General features: G+C 37.1%; 1 annotated feature.

Annotated features, from left to right (window-relative positions):
* Positions 975–1269: an enhancer, noted in NCBI's record as "tiled region #14502; K562 Activating non-DNase unmatched - State 9:DNaseU". NCBI's record gives its function as "activates a minimal TATA promoter and a strong SV40 promoter by Sharpr-MPRA in K562 cells {active_cell/tissue: K562}" and the evidence as "EXISTENCE:reporter gene assay evidence [ECO:0000049][PMID:27701403]".

Raw genomic sequence — 23758 nt, 5'->3', positions numbered from 1 at the left:
CTGACAGAATTGTGCCACAGAAACCAGGGAAGAAAAGTTGATTGTAGGCCAAATGCTGCAGAGAGATGAACTATAATGAAGTCTGAAAACAGTCCCTTGGAGAATGGTTAGGAGATGATGGCCAGGGCAATCTCATTGACATGATGGAATCAGTTGCCTGACTCCCACAGAATGAGTCAAGGCAGAAAATAAAGATAATTCTTGTGAGGCATTTGATGCAGAAGTGAATGGAAGACACAAGGAGACAGCTAGAGGCTCACTTGTGATCAGGGAAGAAGTTATTTTTACATAAAAGAGACTAGAATTGTTAAGACCACAGGGAAGAACTGAATTAAGAGGATAGAATAAAAGAACGGAAAAGGCAGATAAAGCAATGCAGTGGGTTTAGGGTGACTGAATTAGGGACAAAGACTGAGTTAAAGATTTCAGAGGTGGTATTGATTGGACCCAGCAGGTAGCCACATAGGTAGCTGAAATATAGGAAATTCAAGATCCTCTGAGAGTAAAGTGTTCAATTTATCATCCATGGTGATAGTAAAGTCAATTAGGATAATGGCGTGACTTGGAAGATGGTGATCCATATGCCAACACCCTCAACAAATGAGAAGGAGTGACCTAGATTGAATGACAGTCAGAAAGTGTTTAGATGGTAGTATGGACAGGAGGCAGAGTCCAAAAGGGAAAGGGACATTGCTTGAAAGTGAAAGAGACACGATTGGCCACAGTTAATGGCAATATTGAAAAGTCTCATGCTGCCTCATAGTGCACCCACACTGAAGAAAGCTGAAATTCATTAGGGCAAAAAGATGGGAGGTTAATTGCCCATTCTGATGGTTATTGTTTGGAGAAAGCTTAGAGATGTGACTTACAAGAGAAGAGTTCATGCTCATTTATTGCCCCGCCCCCACTTTTTTTTTTTTTTTTTTTTTTTTGAGAAGTGGAGATTACCGCAATGCACACAGCCTTTGAATAAATACCTGGATGCCACTTCAAGGGTGTTGAGCCTGAGAAGCAGATTTGATATGCTGAAGAAATGGAAGCTTCTCCCAATACAAAAACAGTAACAACTGCCACAATGCTTATCATGATGTGACTCACTCTGCAAAACTTCATATTTATTTGGAAGAGGAAGAAGGCAAGAGAGGGATGAATAAGATGATCACATCACTAGTAAGTGTCTAATTTGTCTGGGTGAGAGTTTAGGAAAGCAATGCTCTCAGAAGTGCATTAATACATTAGCAGCTCTAATTAGCAACACAGGACACCTAATTCTTTCCCTTTGGAACTCACAGGGAATGAATTATATGAAGAACTCATCTGATGGGGCGGGGAGACTGAACTTGTTTGGATCCTTTCATAAACCAGAGGATATCAAATATACAAAATGGTCTTGCTTACAACTTTTATTTCAAAAAAAGAAATCAGCTTTTTTTCACATTCCACAGCTAAAGAAAATACCTATTAGTAGCTACAGTCACTTTGATGTTCTGATAATCCTCAGAGAGCATTTTTAAGTGAAAATAGAAGTCCATTAATGTTTCACATAGGATTTAAACTCTTGGGCATTTGAGAGGAAAAAAAACCCAAGTGGTCTGATTTTTCTATAATGACGATTTTATGTTGTATATCATCACTTGCTCATCTTACAGAGTTTTAATTCAGAGCTTTAAATATTGCACAATATGGGTGGCAGCCAGATTGACACAATAAATCTTAATGTTTCTAAATTTAAAAGTCAGTAGCTATTTGCCAAATACATCTTCAACCTGCTATATCAATTTTTGCATAAAAACTATACCTTGTAGAGTCTACATTTTTATAGCTCTCATCATAATGAATGGCGTGTAGTCAATGCAATATCAAGCTGTGTCCTTTTTACTATAATTTTTTATATTTAGGTAATTTTCTAAGTATAACATTTACTATAAAGCTAAAAAAGGAGAGTTGCAATGGTTATTTCCAACACAAACGTGCGTTATAAAAACAATTATGATGTAAAAAACGATATTGTCCTCTTTCTTTCATGAAACAACCCACTTCCAGTTTAGAATCTGGAACAGCCAAGGTGCTCTAATATTGCTATCTTACACATTTGATTTATAATGGCTATGTTTTCCCCATCATTATCATCTAATTTTTAAAGCTGTAAGCATCTCCTGAATACACAGTTCAAAGAAGAAGCAATCATTTAACACTTACTTGCATAAGTAAATATTCCTGAAAATTAAAAAGTAAAAGCTATTATGTTCATTGGCATTTTCTGCTACCAAAGGGCCACATTTCAAAATGAAAATCTAAACCATATATGCGGCACAGTGTATAAAAAAAATTAAGACATAAAAGATATTTATTGCTTTTAAACAAACTTGTTCTGATGCACCGTCTCTCATCTGCCTAACTACTGCCTCATACCCCCACCACCCTACCCTTCATCCTATCTCAATGTCCTTTTTGATTGAAAGTAACAACTGCCAATGTTTTCTTTCCTGGCTTGTTGCATTGGTATCACGCTAAAAATTGGAATAATATATGAAAAGACTTTACACGCACAGAGAATACTTTTTATATTCTTCTTCACCTTCCCAGTACTTTTATAATAATTTTTATAATTAAGTATTTAATCTATACTGTTTAATTTATAATGAATGTGAGTCAGAGTTCTAATTTCTTCCTTTCTTTTTTCTTCCTTTTTTTCTTTCCTTTCTTCTTTCTTCCTTTCTTCTCTTCTTTTCTTTCTTTCTCTCCAAATGGCAAGCCAATTGCCCCAACACTATGCATTATATAGTACCTTCATGCTGCACTGATTTTAGTGTCATGTTTATTATATATTAAATTCTAGCATTAACATTAGCTAACACTTTTTCGGTGTTTACAACAGGCCAGGCAATGTTCTAAATGCTTTACATTTATTGTCCCTACAGCAACTGTAAATGGTTTGGACCACTTTATCCCTAATTTTTAGATGAGAAATTTGAAATACGGAGGGCTTAATAATTTGTCCAGGGTCACAAACCGTTAAGTGGCAAAGCTGTGCTTTGTACCTTGACAGTGTGGTTCCAGAATCTGTGCACTCCACCACACACTACCTTGCTCTCATCTGCCACATATACCTTGTCCTGGACTCTAGTTTGTCCCCTTAACAATCTCTCAGCTGCTATCACACTTTTTTTAATAAAAAATTGAGACAAGGTCTCAATATGTTGCCTAGGCTAGTCTTGAACTCCTGGGCTCAAGTGATCCTCCCACCTTGGTGTTACACTTTTAATTACCATAGTTTTATAGTACGTTTTGACATCTACCAGGGCACATACCCTTCATTGTTCATTTTCAGTTTTCTTGCTGTTCTAACACAGTCAATCATTAACATAAATTTCACCATTAACTTATCAACTTAAAAAATACATTTTGAGTGGAATTATATGAAATTTACAGATTTGGGGAGAACTAATGTCTTTACAACACTAAATCATCCCATCCAGGAACTTGCCATGATTCTTCATTTACCTCAGTTTTCTTTTTATGCCTTTCAATAAAATGTTATAGTTTTCATCACATGAGTTACAGTCATTTCTTATTTATCTATAGGAATTACATTTTTATTTCCATATGTTTTCATTCTATTTCTAGTCTCTCATGGGTTAAAACATCATTGAAAACCTCTTGATTTTTGTATCTTATTTCCCACATCTTACTGAGTTATCTTATTTGTTTCTAATAGATTTTCAGTTAACTCAATTGGATTTTGGAACATTTAATTATATCTTCTGAAAAGAAACATAATTGCATCTGTTTCTTTCCAATATTTGTACTTCTTTGTTTTTCTATTTTATTGTTTGGATTAAGACTTCCAGAACAATATTAAATAAGGTAGTAAGGCAGAAAGTATTAGCTGTTCCCTAGTATCCATTCTTTACTCATAGAAAACCCTAGTTTTTAGATAAGCACATGGCTAATCAGATTAAAGCTACACTTTTCAACATTCCTTGCAACAAAGTGTGGCCATGTGACCAATTACTGGCTAATGCCAGCAAAACTATCATGCCGTAACTTCCACAAGCATTATATACAAAACAGCAGATATGACTTAGGCCTCCTTTGTTCTTTGTCCTCATATTTTTCCCCGCCCTTCTGAATTAAATAAGGATATGCTGAACTTGAATTATTCCTTGAAATATGAGAATGAAGACCACACCCTAGCAGTGATAGAATGAATCTGGGTCCCCGGATAGGCAATGGATTAGACCCACTTTGCCACCCTTTACTGCCTTTCTTCAGTGTTCTTGAAAAGAGGGAGAAACAAAATTATTTTAATCAAAACCAAACCTAATTCTAATGGACATAGTTGTGATAGTAATGGTCATCCTCTGTCCTGAATATAATGTAATGCCACTTGTATTTTACTACTTATTATATTTACCATTGGTTTTTATGTATACTGTTTCTCATATCAAGAAAGTTTCCTTCTAACCCTAATTTACTATAAGTTTGTTTGTTTTTTGTTGGTTGTTGTTGTTGTTGTTGTTTGTTTGTTTGTTTGTTTGAGATGGAGCCTTGCTCTTTCACCCAGGCTGGAGTGCAGCGGCGTAATCTTGGCTCACCGCAACCTCCACCTCCCGGGTTCAAGCGATTCTCTCGCCACAGCCTCCCAAGTAGCTGGGACTACAGGCGCCAGCCACCATGCATGGCTAATTTTTTGTATTTTTAGTAGAGACGGGGTTTCACCATGTTAGCCAAGCTGGTCTCAATCTCCTGACCTCGTGATCCTCCAGCTTCGGCCTCCCAAAGTGTGGGGATTACAGGCATGAGCCATGGTTCCCGGCCTATAAGTTTTTTATCAGGAATGACCATTACTTTTATCAAATGACTCTGCAGCATTGATTTATAGCAAAACTATCCAATAGAACTTTCCCCAATGATGGAAGCACCCATTATCTGTGTTTGTACCGTAACTACTAGTCACATGTGGCTACTGAGCACTTAAAAGTGGCTAATAGGAATGAGAAATGAAATTTTTTAAATAACCTAATTTCAACCATTCAAATTTCAATGGAAAGAGCCACATATGGCTAGTGTCTACCATTTTGGACACAGCTGTGAAGTCAGAGGAACTGTGAGTCAATTAAGCCTCTTTCCTTTACAAATTACCCAGTTCTGGGTATGTTCAGAGCAGATCTAGATGATCACATAGGTAGTTTCTTTAAATCTATTAATATAAAGATATGTATCTTCATAAATATGAAATGAAACCATGCTAAACCATCTTTCATATCTGAAACAAAACCTACATGGTAATGCTATATTTGACTTGCTAATATATTATTAATGTAATAAGATGGAGAAAATTGCATCCACCAGAATTCTTATTAGAGAAAGCACTATATTTATTCAGAAGAAATGCTTCAAAAGCCTCTTGGGGTGGTATATAAGACCTTGAGGGGATGTGCAAATAACAAGGATAATGGAACTTGTTTCCTGTGATGAAGGAGTGTGGAATTTTAAGTCCCAAATAGAAAAACTGAGAGGGACAAAGTGAGTAGAGCCAGTGAGGCTGGAGGCTGCATGAGGGAAGAAGAAGAGAAAAACAAAGCATTACCACCATAGAAAACGAAGTAGGAAAAAGAGAAATTTCAGATGAGGATTTTTCTAGCAAAATTCTATATACAATATGATATAATTCCTCTTTTGGTCCCCACAAATTTTCAACAAATTCCACAAAGGTTATTAATGTTGGGATGTGTGTGTGTGTGTGTGTGTGTGTGTGTGTGTGTGTGTATGCTATCCATTGGATGTGTTCACTGATACTCTATTTCTCTGTCCTTTCAGACATATGGTAGAATTTAATTTTCTCAACCTCTTAAAATTAGCTATGACTTGCGTTCATCAATAAATGTAAGTGGAAGTGACATAGGTCATTTCTAGACAGAAGCTTGAAGCACCTGTGTGCTTCCCACACTCTCTTTCCCCTGACATGGCTGCTGGCATTGATATGGTTTGGCTCTAGGTCCGCACCCAAATCTCACCTCAAATTGTAATAATCCCCACGTGTTGTGAGAGGGACCTGGTGGAAGGTAATTGAATTATAGGGGCAGGTTTTTCCCACACTGTTCTCATAAGTGAGTAAGTCTCATGAGATCTGACAGTTTTATAAAGGGCAGTTCCCCTGCACATGCTGTCTCTCGCCTGCCTCCATGTAAGCCATGTCTTGCTTCCCCTTCGACTTTTGCCATGATTGTGAGGCCTCCCCAGCCATGTGGAACTGTGAGTCAATTAAGCCTCTTACCTTTATAAATTACCCAGTTCTGGGTATGTTTTTATTAGCAGCATGAGAACAGACTAATACAGGCATGTTCAAGATAATAGCATCTCTAACAACCTATGTCCCTGAGGGAGGACAATATAGAACACAACCCATAGTCAACCTGTGATAAGCATAGTGTGAGTGGGAAAAAAAATCTTTGCTGTCTTAGACCACCAAAATTTGTAGATTGTTATCACAGCATAACCCAGTCTATCCTAATGGATAAGGAAAGTGATAGCATAGACTGTTACTACATTTTAAAAAAATAAAATATTTGGCATTGTATTAAGAAATGGAAAATAGTTGGTGAAGAAAACAATGCTAGATCATGAAAAGATGAAAACCCATGCTGTACAGTGAGAAATCATTTGGCATGAGATCAAGTAAACAAGGCATATAGCAATTATCAGAATTATGTCCTGAAAAGAATTGTGGCTACACCTATTGGCACATGGAGCTTACTGAAATCTAATAGGAAATAAGCAATCCATGTCTTTAAGTGATTTGTACGGCAAAAGTACCAACAATTTGGACTGAAAATGATTATAACTATTCTATATTTAAGACAACCATAGACTCCAATCTTCTATTGACAGAAAACAGACTGATAAAGCCAATTGCCCCAATAAAAGCCATAGTCCCCAATATTCATTGCAGATGTCACTGAAGACAATAATCAAAAAAAGGAAGCATTTCTTAGAGATAGAAGCTAGGAACAATGAAGAATAATGGTCAAGAGATGCAAATCAGGACTTGATCAAGGAATAACTCCCACATCCAAAAAACAGGCTCTTTTCCTATTCCTCTAAAAGTGTTTATTGAGTTGCCCAACACCTGTGTATACTGAGTATGTGAAGGGCAGATAACATTTTAATTCATAAGTTTCCAGATGAAAAGCAACCACATCCCACGCCTGATAGAGACTATTAGGCATTACTTTGTCTTCATGAAAAGACCATCACACATCACCCAGAGATCCTGGATGTTGAGTATGGTCTTGTTACACTATGCAAATTTTGAGTCTCCCTTACAATGGGGACAGTTGTATTTTGAATGTAGAAAGCAAAGCTAACCAAATAATTGGTGAATAGAAAAGAGCACTCTGGCTGTTCCAAGATGGCCAAATAGGGGTAGCTCCGGTCTGCAGCTCCCAGCGTGATTGACACAGAAGACAGGTGATTTCTGCATTTCCAACTGAGGTACCTGGTTCATCTCATTGGGACTGGTTTGACAGTGAGTGCAGCCAACGGAGGGCAAGCGGAAGCAGGGAGGGGCATTGCCTCACCTGGGAAGCACAAGGGGTCAAGGGGTTTCTCTTTGCTAGCCAAGGGAAGCCGTGATAGACTGTACCTGGAAAAACAAGACATTTTCACCCAAATACTGTGCTTTTCCCAAGATCTTAGCAACTGACAGACAAGGACATTCTCTCCTGTGCCTGGCTCAGTGGGTCCCATGCCCACGGAGCCTTGCTCACCGCTAGTGCATTAGTCTGAGATTGACCTGTGAGGCAGCAGCCTAGCAGTGGGAGGGCCATCAGCCATTGCTGAGGCTCGAGTAGGTAAAAAAAAAGTGGCCAGGAAGCTCAAACTGGGCGGAGCCCACCGCAGCTCAGCAAGGCCTACTGCCTCTATAGACTCCACCTCTGTGGGCAGGGCATAGCTGAACAAAAGGCAGCAGAAACTTCTGCAGACTTAAACGTCCCTGTCTGACAGCCCTGAAGAGAGCAGTGCTTCTCCCAGCATGGCGTTTGAGCTCTGAGGACAGACATACGGCCTCCTCAAGTGGGTCCCTGACCCCCATGTAGCCTAACTGGGAGACACCTCCCAGTAGGGGCTGACAGACACCTCATATAGGTGGCTGCCCCTCTAGGAAGTAGCTTCCAGAGGAAGGATTAGGCAGCAATATTTGCTGTTCTGCAGCCTCCGCTGGTGATACCTAGGCAAACAGGGTCTGGAGTGGACCTCCAGCAAACTCCAACACACCTGCAGCTGAGGGACCTGACTATTAGAAGGAAAACTAACAACAGAAAGGAATAGCATCGACATCAACAAAAAGGAAATCTACACTAAAACCCCATCTGTAGGTCACCAACATCAAAGACTAAAGGTAGATAAAACCACAAAGATGGGGAGAAACCAGAGCAGAAGAGCTGAAAATTATAAAAACCAGAACTCCTCTTCTCTTCCAAAGGATCGCAGCTCCTTGCCAGCAATGGGGCAAAGCTGGACGGAGAATGACTTTGATGAGCTGACAGAAGTAGGCTTCAGAAGGTCAGTAGTAACACACTTCTCTGAGCTAAAGGAGCATGTTCTAACCCATTGCAAGGAAGCTAAAAACCTTGAAAAGAGGTTAGACGAATGGCTAACTCGAATAGCCCGTGTAGAGAAGAACTTAAATGACATGGTGGAGCTGAAAACCATGGCACAAGAACTTCATGACACATGCACAAGCTTCAATGTCTGATTCAATCAAGTGGAAGAAAGGGTATCAGTGATTGAAGATCAAATTAATGAAATGAAGTGAGAAGACAAGGTTAAAGAAAAAAGAGTAAAAAGAAATGAATAAAGCCTCCAAGAAATATGGGACTATGTGAAAAGACCAATCTACATTTGATTGGTGTACCTGAAACTTATGGGGAGAATGGAACCAAGTTGAAAAACACTCTTCAGGATATTATCCAGGAGAACTTCCCCAACCTAGCAAGGCAGGCCAACATTGAAATTCAGGAAATACAGAGAACACCACAAAGATACTCCTCAAGAAGAGAAACCCCAAGACACATAATTGTCAGATTCACCAAGGGTGAAATGAAGGAAAAAATGTTAAGGGCAGCCAGAGAGAAAGGTTGAGTTACCCACAAAGGGAAGCCCATCAGACTAACAGCAGATCTCTCGGCAGAAACCCTACAAGCCAGAAGAGAGTGGGGGCCAATATTCAACATTCTTAAAGAAAAGAAATTTCAACCCACAATTTCATATCCAGCCAAACTAAGCTTCATAAGTGAAGGAGAAATAAAATCCTTTACAGAAAAGCAAATGCTGAGAGATTTTGTCACCACCAGGTCTGCCTTACAAGAGCTCCTGAAGGAAGCACTAAACATGGAAAGAAACAACTGATACCAGCCACTGCAAAAGCATGCCAAATTGTAAAAACTATTGATGCTATGAAGAAAATGCATCCATTACCAGGCAAAATAATCAGCTAACATCATAATGACAGGATCAAATTCACATATAAAAATATTAATCTTAAATGTAAATGGGCTAAATGCCCCAATTAAAAGAGACAGACTGGCAAACTGGGTAAAGAGTCAAGACCCATCAGTGTGCTGTATTCAGGAGACCCATCTCACATGCAGAGACACACATAGACTCAAAATAAAGGGATGGAGGAAGATCTACCAAGCAAAAGGAAAGCAAAAAAAAGCAGGAGTTGCAATCCTAGTCTCTGATAAAACAGACTTTAAACCAACAAAGATCAAAAGAGACAAAGCAGGCCATTACATAATGGTAAAGGGATCAATTCAACAAGAAGAGCTAACTATGCTAAATATATATGCACCCAATACAGGAGCACCCAGATTCATAAAGCAAGTCCTTAGAGACTTACAAAGAGACTTAGAATCCCACACAATAATAGTGAGAGATTTTAACACCCCACTGTCAATATTAGACAGATCAACGAGACAAAAGGTTAACAAGGATATCCAGGACTTGAACTCAGTTCTGCACCAAGTGGACCTAATAGATATCTACAGAACTCTCCACCCCAAATCAACAGAATATACATTCTTCTTAGCACCACATCACACTTATTCCAAAATTGACCACATAGTGGGAAGTAAAGCACTCCTCAGCAAATGTAAAAGAATAGAAATCACAACAATCTCTCAAACCACAGTGCAATCAAATTAGAACTCAGGATTAAGAAACTCACCCAAAACTGCACGACTACATGGAAACTAAACAACCTGCTCCTGAATGACAACTGGGTAAATAACAAAATGAAGGCAGAAATAAAGATGTTCTTTGAAACCAATGAGAACAAAGATACAATGTACCAGAATCTCTGGGACACATTTTAAGCAGTGTGTAGAGGGAAATGTATAGCACTAAATGCCCACAAGAGAAAGCAGGAAAGATCTAAAATTGACACCCTAACATCACAATTAAAAGAACTAGAGAAGCAAGAGCAAACACATTCGAAAGCTAGCAGAAGGCAAGAAATAACTAAGATCAGAGCAGAACTGAAGGAAATAGAGACACAAAAAACCCTTCAAAAAAATCCATGAATCCAGGAGCTGGCTTTTTGAAAAGATCAACAAAACTGATAGCCCACTAGCAAAACTAATAAAGAAGAAAAGAGAGAAGAATCAAATAGACACAATAAAAAATGATAAAGGGGATATCACCACCAATCCCACAGAAATACAAACTACCATCAGAGAATACTATAAACACCTCCACGCAAATAAATTAGAAAATCTAGAAGAAGTGGATAAATTCCTGGACACATACACCCTCCCAAGACTAAACCAGGAAGAAGTTGAATCTCTGAATTCAACAGGCTCTGAAATTGAGGCAATGATTAATAGCTTACCAACCAAAAAAAGTCCAGGACCAGACAGATTCATAGCCAAATTCTACCAGAGGTGCAACAAGGAGCTGGTACCATTCCTTCTGAAATTATTCCAATCAATAGAAAAAGAGGGAAACCTTGCTAACTCATTTTATGAGGCCAGCATCATCCTGATACCAAAGCCTGGCAGAGACACAACAAAAAAAGAGACTTTTAGACCAATATCCCTGATGAACATCGATGCAAAAATCCTCAATAAAATACTGGCAAACTGAATCCAGCACCATATCAAAAAGCTTATCCACCACGACGAAGTTGGCTTCATCCCTGGGAAGCAAGGCTGGTTCAACATACACAAACCAATACACATAACCCATCACATAAACAGAACCAACAACAAAAACCACATGATTATCTCAATAGATGCAGAAAAGGCCTTCAACAAAATTCAACAGCCCTTCATGCTAAAAACTCTCAATAAACTAGGTATTGATGGAACATATCTCAAAATAATAACAGCTATTAATGACAAACCCACAGCCAATATCAAACTGAATGGGCAAAAACTGGAAGCATTCCCTTTGAAAACCAGCACAAGACAAGGATACCTCTCTCACCACTCCTATTCAACATAGTGTTGGAAGTTCTGGCCAGGGCAATCAGGCAAGAGAAAGAAATAAAGGGTATTCAAATAGAAAGAGAGGAAGTGAAACTGTCTCTGTTTGCAGATGACATGATTGTATATTTAGAAAAGCCCATCATCTCAGCCCAAAATCTCCTTAAGCTGATAAGCGACTTCAGCAAAGTCTCAGGATACAAAATCTACGTGCAAAAATCACAAGCATTCCTATACGCCAATAACAGAGAGCCAAATCATGAGTGAACTCCCATTCACAATTGCTACAAAAAGAATAAAATACCTAGAAATCCAACTTACAAGGGATGTGCAGGACCTCTTCAAGGAGAACTACAAACCACTGTTCAACGAAATAAAAGAGGACACAAACAAATGGAAGAACATTCCATGCTCATGGATAGAAAGAATCAATGTACTGAAAATGGCCATACTGCCCAAGGTAATTTATAGATTCAATGCCATCCCCATCAAGCTAGCAATTACTGTCTTCACAGAATTGGAAAAAACTACTTTAAAGTTCATATGGAACCAAAAAAGAGCCCACATTGCCAAGACAGTCCTAAGCAAAAAGAACAAAGCTGGAAGCATCACGCTACATCACTTCAAATTATGCCACAAGGCTGCAGTAGCCAAAACAGCATGGTACTGTTACCAAAACAGAGATATACACCAATGGAACAGAACAGAGCCCTGAGAAATAACACCACACATCTACAACCATCTGATCTTTGACAAACCTGACAAAAACAAACCTATTTAATAAATGGTGCTGGGAAAACTGGCTAGCCATATGTAGAAAGCTGAAACTGGATCCCTTCCTCAAACCTTATATAAAAATTAATTCAAGATGGATTAAAGACTTAAATGTTAGACCTAAAACCATAAAACCCCTAGAAGAAAACCTAGGCAATACCATTCGGGACATAGGCATGGGCAAGGACTTCATGACTTCATGACTGAAACACCAAAAGCAATGGCAAAAAAAGCCAAAATTGACAAATTGGATCTAATTAAACTAAAGAGCTTCTGCACAGCAAAAGAAACTACCATCAGGGTGAACAGGCAACCTACAGAATGGGAGAAAATTTTTGCAATCTACCCATCTGACAAAGGGCTAATATCCAGAATCTACAAAGAACTCAAACAAATTTACAAGAAAAATCAAACAACCCCATCAAAAAGTAGGCAAAGGATATGGACACTTCTCAAAAGAAGACATTTATGCAGCCAACAGACATGAAAAAATGCTCATCATCACTGGTCATCAGAGAAATGCAAATCAAAACCACAATGAGATACCATCTCACAGCAGTTAGAAAGGCGATCATTAAAAAGTCAGGAAACAACAGATGCTTGAAAGGGTGTGGAGAAATAGGAACGCTTTTACACTGTTGGTGGGAGTGTAAATTAGTTCAACCATTATGGAAGACAGTGTGGAGATTCCTCAAGGATCTAGAACTAGAAATACCATTTGACCCAGTGTTCCCATTCCTGGGATATATACCCAAAAAATTATAAATTTTAAATATACCCCAAAATATAAATATACCCAAAAAATTATAAATCATGCTGCCATAAAGACACATGCACAAGTATGTTTATTGTGGCACTATTCACAATAGCAAAGACTTGGAACCAACCCAAATGTCCATCAATGATAGACTGGATTAAGAAAATGTGGCACATATACACCATGGAATACTATGCAGCCATAAAAATAGTTCATGTCCTTTGCAGGGACATGGATGAAGCTGGAAACCATCATTCTCAGCAAACTATCACAAGGACAAAAAACCAAATGCCACATGTTCTCACTCATAGATGGGAATTGAACAATGAGAACACTTAGACACAGGGACACAGGGTGGGGAACATCACACACTGGGGCCTGTCGGGGGGGTAGGGGTCTCGGCGAGGACAGCATTAGGAGAAATACCTAATGTAAATGATGAGTTGATGGGTGCAGCAAACCAACATGGCACATGTATACCTATGTATCAAATCTGCACATTGGGTATATGTACCCTAGAACTTAAAGTATAAAAAAGAAAGAAAGAAAGAAAGAGAAAGAAAGAGAGAGAGAGAGAGAGAGAGAGAGAGAGAGAGAGAGAGAAAGGAAGGAAGGAAGGAAGGAAGGAAGGAAGGAAGGAGGGAAGGAAGGAAGGAAGGAAGGAAGGGAGAGAGAAAGAAAGAGAGAAAGGGAGAAAAAGAGAGAAAGAAGGAGGAAGGAAGGAAGGAAGGAAGGAAGGAAGAAAGGAAGGAAGGAAGGAAGGAAAGAGTTTTCTGGTAATCATTAAGAATGTTTGCAAATATTCCAGTTCTTTCTACTTCTGGAGTGAAAGTAGGATTGCTCTTAATCAACCTTTAAAAGATAGATGCAGACATGTGACTTCCCTTGGCCAGTGACATGTAAATGAATATTAAGTATATCATCTCTGTGATATGCTTCAAGAGCTCAAATATCCTCCATGTTTCCTTCCTTTTGTAGCAATCACTAAGTAATGTGCCAAATGGTTGATACTCTGAAAGCCTGTATAGTCCTCAGTGAGGAAATCCCCAGCTGACCCTGGGAAGAGCAAGCAAGAAATAGGCTTTCATTGTTTAAAACCATTGAGAACTTGGGTTTATTTATTACCACAGCAAAACCTTGTCTGTCTGGACAGGGACAACGTGACTGAGTTTTCTGTGCAAACCAGAGAAGAGGGTAAGATCTGCAGTGAATAATTCAGGGCCAAATGGAACCAGCCTGTGAGGATAAAGAGATAGATGTCTTCTGGTTACATTTAGGATATATGCATCTATAGTCTTATACTCGTTGTTTTCATGTGCTGTGACTTTTCAGTTTTTATATCATAGTTACACTAGCCTTATAAAACAGGTGGAAAAATGTTATGGGTGTTTTTCCCTCTGCTTTGGAATAGCAAAAAGAACAAAGGAATTATCTGTTCCTTAATTATTATTTTAATTCACCAATAAAACAATTTGGGTCAGAAGTATTTCACCTGCAAGTGAAAGATGACTAAATAAAATTAGCTTTAGCAAAAAAAAAAAAAAGAAATTTAAAAAAATTATTATCTCACATGTAGGAAGGACAGGAGTAGCACTGATAGACAATGTTCGATCTTTCTCTTTTCCTCTTTTTCTTTATTTCTATGTCTGCGTCTAAGTTCTATGCCTTATGCATCTCTGCCTGTCTCAGTCTCCATTTCTTGGTCAGTCAGAGGTTTCTAACTGTGTGTGTATGTGTGTGTGTGTGTCTGTCTTTGTCACTGTATACCAACCCCACCCCCCTATCCCTCTCTGAGTTCTCTCTCTCTTATTGCAGATCAGCTTCATCTATGTGGGAGAGGGTAGCTGTGACCATACCCAGTTCTAGGCTTACACCATTGCCATTTAGCAACCCAGAAGAGACCTTTTCCCATAAATACAATACTACATATTACAAGACAGGACTCAATTAACTTTGTTGGGTCACCTGCCCCACCTTGGATTAATATATACAAGGATATAGGCTACTATACTCAAACATACCTGAGTCAGTGTACAATTGTTTTCTGCTATCATAGTATCATATAATTGGGGTAGGAGAGGATCCATCCCCAAAGGACGGCATAGTATTTATACCAAAAAAAAAAAAAAAGAAAAAAAAAACAGAGAATAAGATAGGGAGAGACACACAATTGCTAGCTAAATAAACACAGTAGATAACGACTAAAAAAAACAAATGGGCTTAGCTCTAGTGGAGAATAGATCTTCAGCCATCTTCACAATTCCCTCCTTGGTCATGGTCATCAGTCTATTCATGTTTCTCTGACTCCACTTGAGTCCATTTTAATAATTCACAATTTTTTAGAATCACCTATTTCATCTAGATTTTTGAATTTATTGGCAAAAAGGTAAAAAGGCTTTTCCTCATAATGTCCTTCAAAATGAAAGCCTATGGCATAATGCTGAGAGCAATTCCATTAAAGCAATTCTCTAGGAAACTAAAACAAAAGTATTTCAGGCTGCAGTTCTCTCTTGGTTTGGCTTAATCCAGGAATAAAATTGAATGTGTCTAGAGAAAGGATGGACTGCATATCCTTCAGGCGATTCTCCATCTATATTACTTTTGATAAGTGAGCTTTTGATAGGTTCTAGGTAGCAGAGATTTGTAGGTTATAACCTCTGACAAGAATTTGAAGTACAAATTATTTTACAGTGCTCAATTTCATATGTTTCATTGGTCAGTCCAAATGGAAAGAGTTGACATTCTCTTATGAAAGTTGAGACACCTAAATAGGACATGTGTCTGAAGAGAAGATGTTCTCAAGACCACACAAAAGTAGTTCCCAGAATAGTACTCATGGGGTAAAGCCAGGCTTTTCCTAGAGCAATTAAACAGCTGAACAAAACACAAGGCGGAAGACAGAATGAAAAACACACAACAAGATAAACCAAGACAGGGGGACAAATAGCATTCTGTGGAGAGCCAAGAAGTAACTGAGGTGCTGCTATTAAAGGGTATGTGAAAATGACCTAGACTTCATCAAGAAAGTGCTAGTTGAGATGGCATTATAAGATGAGAAAAATGTTGATGGGTAGAAGGTAAGCAGAGGAGCTAGAAAGAACTTCATGAGCAGGTCTTGTGTCTTATGTTTCTTTGGAGTTTAGGGAATGGGCTGAAGGGATAAAGCAAGGGCTAGATGAAAAGATGAACTAAACTGTTGTCTAGCCACCACGATGTAGGAAAGTCCAGACTAAACACTGAATGATGTGGAAAGTGGCCCTGAGAGACAAAGGCCTTGCATGTTGCAGCTCCCAGCTGAGCTACCCATTGAATCCAGCCACATGAATCACCCCAGATACAATCGCATGAAGCAGAGGAAACACTGAGCTTCACCCTGCCACAGTTCAAGCCAACACTGAGAATAATAAGCTGTTGTGGTTTGAATCCAGCAAGTTTTGGCATGGCTTGCTCTCGGACATATGCTCAGGTCTGAAACTCCCTGCCTCGTCTTGTGCTACTCTTATGCTAATATTCATTATGTCTCTTTGCAATCAATCCTACCTCACTCCTGGCCCTAGGAAATCACTTGTCTGCTTTCTGTCTCCAAAGTTTATTTTGCATTTTCTAGAATTCCAAGTAAATGGAATCTCACAGTATATCCTTTTTTTTTTTTTTTTTGAATGGCTCTTTTGCTGCACAAATAATATATTTGAGATTCTTGCGTGTTGTGTATTCCTTTTTATTTTTCTTTATTGCTGAGAAATATTCCACTCTATGGCTATACCATAGCTTACTTATTTAGTCTCTATTTGATGGACATTCAGGTTGTTTTCAGTTTGGCACTATTATGAGTAAAGTTGCTACAAATTTCATAAACAAAGGTTTATGTGGATATATACTTTCATTTTTCTTAGGTAAATTCCTAGGTGTAGAATTGCCAGATAAATGATAACTACATGCTTGACTTTATAAGAAATTGTAACATTGTTTTTCAAAGTGTGTGTACCATTGTACTTTCCCTCCAGCAATGTGTGAGAATTACAGATGTACCATATCTTTGCCAACATTTTATACTGTTAGTATGTTTCATTTTTCAAGGCATTCCGATGGATGAATAGTGGTATATCACTGTAGCTTTAGTTTGCATTTTTCTGATGGCCAATAATTCTGAACATCTTTTTATGTGCTTATTGGCCATTGGTATATCTTTTTTGGCTAAGTATCTTTTCGAATATTTTGCTCATTTACTATTGAGTTGTTTATCTTGTCTTTGAGTTGTGACAGTTCTTTACATATTCTTGATACAAGTACATTTTTTATATGTGTGTATTGAGAATCATTTCTTCCAATCTGTGTCATGGCTTTCATTTCTTTAATGATTTCTTTCAAAGAATAAATGTTCTTAATCTTGAGGAAGTCTAATTTCTCCTCTTTCATAATTTTATGATTCGTACTTCTTGTGTCCTATCTAAGAAACTATTGTCTACTCCAAGTTCATAAAGATTGTCTCCTATAAGTTCTTCTAGAACTTTTATCATTTTGGCTTTTACGTTTAGGTTTATGATCCTCCATTTCAAGATAATTTTGTGTATAATGTGATGTATATGCTGAGATTTTGTTTTATTCCATGTGGATACCCAGTTATTTTAATGCCATTTGTTGAAAATAATTACCATTTTTATCCATTGAATTAACTTGAAATTTTTATCAAAAATCAAGCAATTGTATATATGGGTCTATTTCTGGACTCTCTATTCTAGCCCATCAATCTGTATGCCTATTCTTATGCTAATATTCATGATCTTGAGTTTTAACTTTATGGCACTTAGAAATTAGATAGTATAAATTCTCTTCATTCTTAATTTTTAAAATTGTATTGGATATTTTAGGTCACCTGCATTTCTATATAAATTTGATAATAAATTTGCTAAGATCTACAAAAGACAGCCTATAGGAATTTTGATTGGGGTTATGTTAAATTGATATATCAATTTGGAACATTTTTAAATTTTACTAACATTGGGTCTTCCAATCCACGAACATGATATATATCTCTGTTTTTTCTTTTTAGATTTTCTTTTCTTTCCCTCAGAAATGTTTGGTACTGTTCTGTGTTCAAGTATTACATATATCTATTAAATATATTTTTAGATATTTTATTTTTATACTATGTAAATAGTATTCAATTTTTTATATTTGATTTTCCAAGTGTTTCATTGCTAGTATAAAAAATTCAAGAGTATTGTATATTGAACTTGTAGCATGCCAGCTGACTAAATTCACTAATTAATTCTAGTAGCTTTTGTAAAGGTTCATTAGGACTTTTTTACCTAAACTATCACATCTTCTGCAAATGGAACAATTTACTTTTCCTTTTCCAATCTATGTACCTGTTATTTCTTCTTTCTTGCCAGGATCTCTACAAAAATATCAGGAAACAACAGATGCTTGAGAGGATGTGGAGAAATAGGAACACTTTTAAACTGTTGTTGGGAGTGTAAATTAGTGCAACCACTGTGGAAGACAGTCTGGCGATTCCTCAAGGATATAGAACCAGAAATACCATTTGACCCAGCGATCCCATTACTAGGTATATACCCAAAGGATTATAAATCATTCTACTATAAAGACACATGCACACATATGTTTATTGCGGCACTGTTCACAATAGCAAAGACTTGGAACCAACCCCAATACCCATCAATGATAGACTGGATAAAGAAAATGTGGCACATATATACCATAGAATACTATGCAGCCATAAAAAAGGATGAGTTAATGTCCTTTGCAGGGACATGGATGAAGCTGGAAACCATCGTTCTCAGCAAACTAACACAAGAACAGAAAACCAAACACTGCATGTTCTCACTCGTAAGTGGGAATTGAACAATGAGAGCACATGGACACAGGGAGGGGAACATAACACACCAGGGCCTGTGGGTCTGGGGGTTAGGGGAGGAATAGCATTAGGACAAATACCTAATGTAGATGACGAGTTGATGTGTGCAGCAAACCACCAAAGCACGTAGATACCTATGTAACAAACCTGCACATTCTGCATATGTATTCCAGAACTTAAAGTATAATAAACAACAAGAAAGAAAAAATATATTGTATCACAGTGGTGAACACCTTTGCCTGTTCCCAGTCTTAGAGGGGAAGCATTCAATCTTTACTATTTTTGTTTTGCTTTGTTTTTGAGACGAAGTCTCATTCTGTTGCCAAAGCTGGAGAGCAGTGGCAGGATCTCAGCTCACTGCAACCTCCACCTGCTGGGTTCAAGTGATTCTCCTGCCTCAGCCTCCTGAGTAGCTGGGACTGCAGGCATGCACCACCATACCTGGCTAATTTTTGTATTTTTAGTAGAGACAGATTTCACTACGTTGGCCAGGCTGGTCTCAAACTCCTGACCTTGTGGTCTGCCTGCCTCAGCCTCCCAAAGTGCTGGGATTACAGATGTAAGCCACCGCACCTGGCCCAGTCTTTACTATTAAGTATGATGCTGGTTGTAGGTTCTTCACAGGCTCCACTTACCAGGTTGAAATTTTCTTCTATTTCTAGCTTTCCAGGGGTTCTTTTTAGTCATTAACGAGTTGAATTTCTAAAACATATTTTTACTGCATCTATGAAGATGATAATCTGGTTTTTCTTCTTTGTTCTTTTGATATGGTGAATTACATTAATTGATCATTGAGGGCTAAACCAACCTTGCATTTCTGGAATAAATCGGATATGGTCATGAGGTGTTATTTATATTGCTAGATTTGGTTTGCTAATATTTTGTTTAAAATTTTTTGGTCTATGTTCTTGTCTTTAGTTTTCTTATCTTTTAATATGTTTATTTTCAGGGAAATTCTGACTTAAAAATATTAAAAATGACTTGGGAAGTGATTTTTTTAATCTCTGTTTTCTGAAAACTGTCATGTATTACTGGAAATATTACTTCTGAAATTTTTGGTACAATTAACTAGTAAGTCCATCTGAGACTAGAGTTTTCTTTATGGGAAGGCTTTTAAATATTAATTCAAATTATGTAAAATGTAGAAGGCTATTCAGATTTTCTGTTTCTCTTTGAGTCAATTTTTATTATCTGTAACTTTTGCTAATGCCATTTTTATCTCAATTTTAGTAATGTATTACAGTCATTTATGTCTATTTTATCTGATGTACATGTGTAAGACTGTGTCTGGGATATATACCTAGGTGTAGAATTTGAGGCTTTGCCTGTCTTCTCCATTGCATCTCTGTTTCCTTTTACATTAATTTCTGGTCTGATATTTATATTTTACTTTCATTTGGTTTATTCAATATTTTTTCTAACTATACCTCGCATTTTGATTTTCAATCCACCTTTTCTTTTTTCTTTTCTTTTTTTTTTTTTTTTAAATAGAGACAAGTTCTCACTCTGTCGTCCAGGCTGGAGTGCAATGGTGCAATCATAGCTCATTGAACCCTCAACTCTCTGGGCTCAAGTTATCATCCCTTCCCAGCCTCCTGAGTAAGTAGGACTACAGGCATGCACCACCACACCTGGCTAATTGTTTTATTTTATTTTTTGTTAGTCAGGGTCTCTCTATGTTGCCCAGGCTGGTCTTGAACTCCTGGCCTCAACTGATCCTTCTGCCTTGGCCTCCCAAAGTGCTGCAATTACAGGCATGAGCCACCATGTCTGGCCAACTGTTTTTTGTTTTTTTTGTTTTTTGTTTTTTTTTTTCTAAAAAAGAAGCATTTATTTTTAAAAATTTCCCCTAAATGATGTTCTCACTCATTGTTCCAGTAATTATTTTTAGCATTTTTATTATCATTGATGTCTAAGTATATTTTCCTTTTTGACTATTATTCCTTTTTCACTAAGTTACTTAGATATGCATATTTTTAAATTTTCAAATGTATGAGATTTTGCATTTTAGAAATATTTTTGCTATTGATTTTATACTAGATTGCATTGTTGACAGAAAATATAAGTTATGTCATACCTACTCATTTCTTACAGCTTACTTCATGGCCTAACACATGATCAGATTTGGTTTTTTGTTTCAAAGTTCCTTATGTTCTTGAGAAGAATACATACTTTCTAATTGTGGAGTACAGAGTTTTATATATATACATTAACTCAAGGTTATTAAATGTATGATTCGTGTCTTCCATATATTCATTTTTGGTTTGTACAACTTTAATTGAGAGATATGTGTTGAAATCTTTCATTTGAATATCAGAGTTATCTACTTCTTCTCTAGTTATATCAAATTCACTCTCTGTATTTTAAGGCTTTGTAAATTTTTGATTGTGTTTTATATATTTTACTGAGTCCTGCAAATTTAGAATTATTAGAATTTTCTGTTTAAACTGTTTATCATTGCATTGTGACTCTTTTTATCTGTAACAGTAGTTAAAAAAAATAAATTTAAGGGCTACAAGTGCTGTATTGTTACGTGGATATATTGTGTAGTGGTGGTAAAGTCTAGATTTCAGTGTAACCATCCCCCAAACAATGTACATTGTGCCCATTAGGTAATTTCTCATCTCTCACCCCCTCCCCGCCCTCACCCTTCTGAGTCTCCATTGTCTATGATTCCACACTCTATGTTCATGTGTAACATTATAACCTTATTTAGCTTATAAGTGAGAATTTCCAGTATTTGTTTTGTTTTTGTTTTGTTATTTTATTTTTTTTAGACAAGGTCTTGCTTTATCTCCCAGGCTTGAGTGCAGTGCCACAATCTTGGCTCACTGCAACCTCTGCCTCCCAGAGAACATGCAGTATTTGGCTTTCTGTTTCTGAGTTGTTTCACTTAAGATAATGGCCTTCAGTTCCACCCATGTTGCTGCAAATGACGTGGTTTCATTCATTTTTATGACTGAGTGGTTTTCTATTGTACACACACACATATATACATATAATTTTCATTATATGTATTGACAGACATTGACAGACACTAAGTTTCATTTCATATCTTTGCTATTGTGAATAGTGTTGCAATAAACATAGAAAAGCAGGTACCTTTTTGATGTAATAATTTCTTTTCCTTTGGGTAGATACCCAGTAGTGAGACTGCTGGATCAAATGGTAAATTCTGTTTTCAGTTCTTCGAGAAATCTCTATACTGTTTTCCACAGAGGTTGTACTAATTTACATTCCCACCAACAGTGAATTAGCATTCCCTTTTCTCCACATCCTCACCAAGATCTGTATCTTTAAGAGTACTTTTTATCTTAAAGTTTAGCTAATATTGCTACAAAAATCTTAACTTTTTTTGGCATTTTCCTGGTGTGTCTTTTTTTTATTCTTTTACTTTTAACCTTCCTTCTTCCTTATGTTTCAGGTATGTCCCTTACAAACATGCAAGTGGATTTTGCATTTTTATATCTAATGATCTCTATATTTTAGCTGGTGAGTTCAGCTGACTTACAGACATTGTTACCTGATATTGTTTCTATCATCTTGCTGGTACTTTATTGTGCTTTCCTCTATTTTCTCATTCTTTCTTCAGGTAAATTGTTAATTTGCCATCTTTTTAAAAAAAATTTGTGGTAAAATATACATAACATAAACTTGCCATTTTAACCTTTTTTTTTTTTTTTCAAGGAAAAAGAGAGAAGCAACCAATATTCCAAATGTTCTTTCAGTGGTGTTACTATATCCACAATGTTGGGCAACCATCACCACCATTTCCAAAATTTTTTGTCACCCAGTGCAGAAACTGTGTAACCATTAAGCAATAACTCTCCATTCCTCCCTTCCCCAGCCTCTGGTAAGCTCTGATGTACTTCCTGTATCTAGGAATTTGCCTATTTTAGATATTTCATATCAGTGAAATCATACAATCTTTATCCTTTTGTGTCTTATTTCCCTTAGCATAAAGTCTTCAAGGTTCATCAATGTTGCAGCATGTATCAGAACTTTGTTCCTTTTATGACGGAATAATATTCCATTGTAAGTATATGCCACGTTTTATTTATCCATTCATCTGCTGATGGACACTTGGGTTTTCTGCCTTTTGGCTATTATGAATAATGCTTCAAGGAACATGGGTTTACAATATCTGAATCCCTGCCTTAGGTTCTTTTGGGTATAAACCTAGGATTGGAATAGTAATTTGCTTTCTCACTTGATTTTTCCCCATTCTATTGGTTAAAGATTACAGACTCTATGTCTAGTCTATTGGTTATCTTTTAAATGATAACACAGTCTACATGTTAATGTTTTAATTCTCTCCAAACAATACAAGGAATTTAGAAACTTGACTCTGATATTCTTCCTCCCAGATTGCATAGATTTGTTGTGAAAAGTTATGTTCTGCCTTCTTTTTAACCCCACAAAGTATTTTGTAGGAGGAGTAGTAGCGGCAGTAATAGTATGCTGATATGATACAATTTTTAAAATAATAACTAAAGGGTATAAGTAGAATTTATAACTTACAAAACAGCCAAATTAAAAATAGAATCTTGATTTGTAATGTAAAAGTATCCAGTTAGCCACTAGTAAAAATAGATACAAAATTAAAATTCTCAAAAAAAGTATAACACTGTGAAGAACAAAAACAACAACATAAAACACCAGGGTGTCATTTCAGCTCAAGGACAGCCAGTTTCACATCTGTGAGGCAAGCTGATATTGCCATTACGTCTAACTCTGGTTTTCTCACAATTACGTGTCCTGATAGAACATAGTACATCAATTATCTGAACCATACTAATGAGTTTCTGAACTGTGTTATCACAAGGACCCAAAATGTCTTCCTCAAAGCTTTATTTG

This window comes from Homo sapiens, chromosome 12, assembly GCF_000001405.40.
Source record: "Homo sapiens chromosome 12, GRCh38.p14 Primary Assembly".
In the NCBI taxonomy this organism is placed as follows: Eukaryota; Metazoa; Chordata; class Mammalia; order Primates; family Hominidae; genus Homo; species Homo sapiens.
This window is presented reverse-complemented; position numbering and strand designations above follow the sequence as displayed.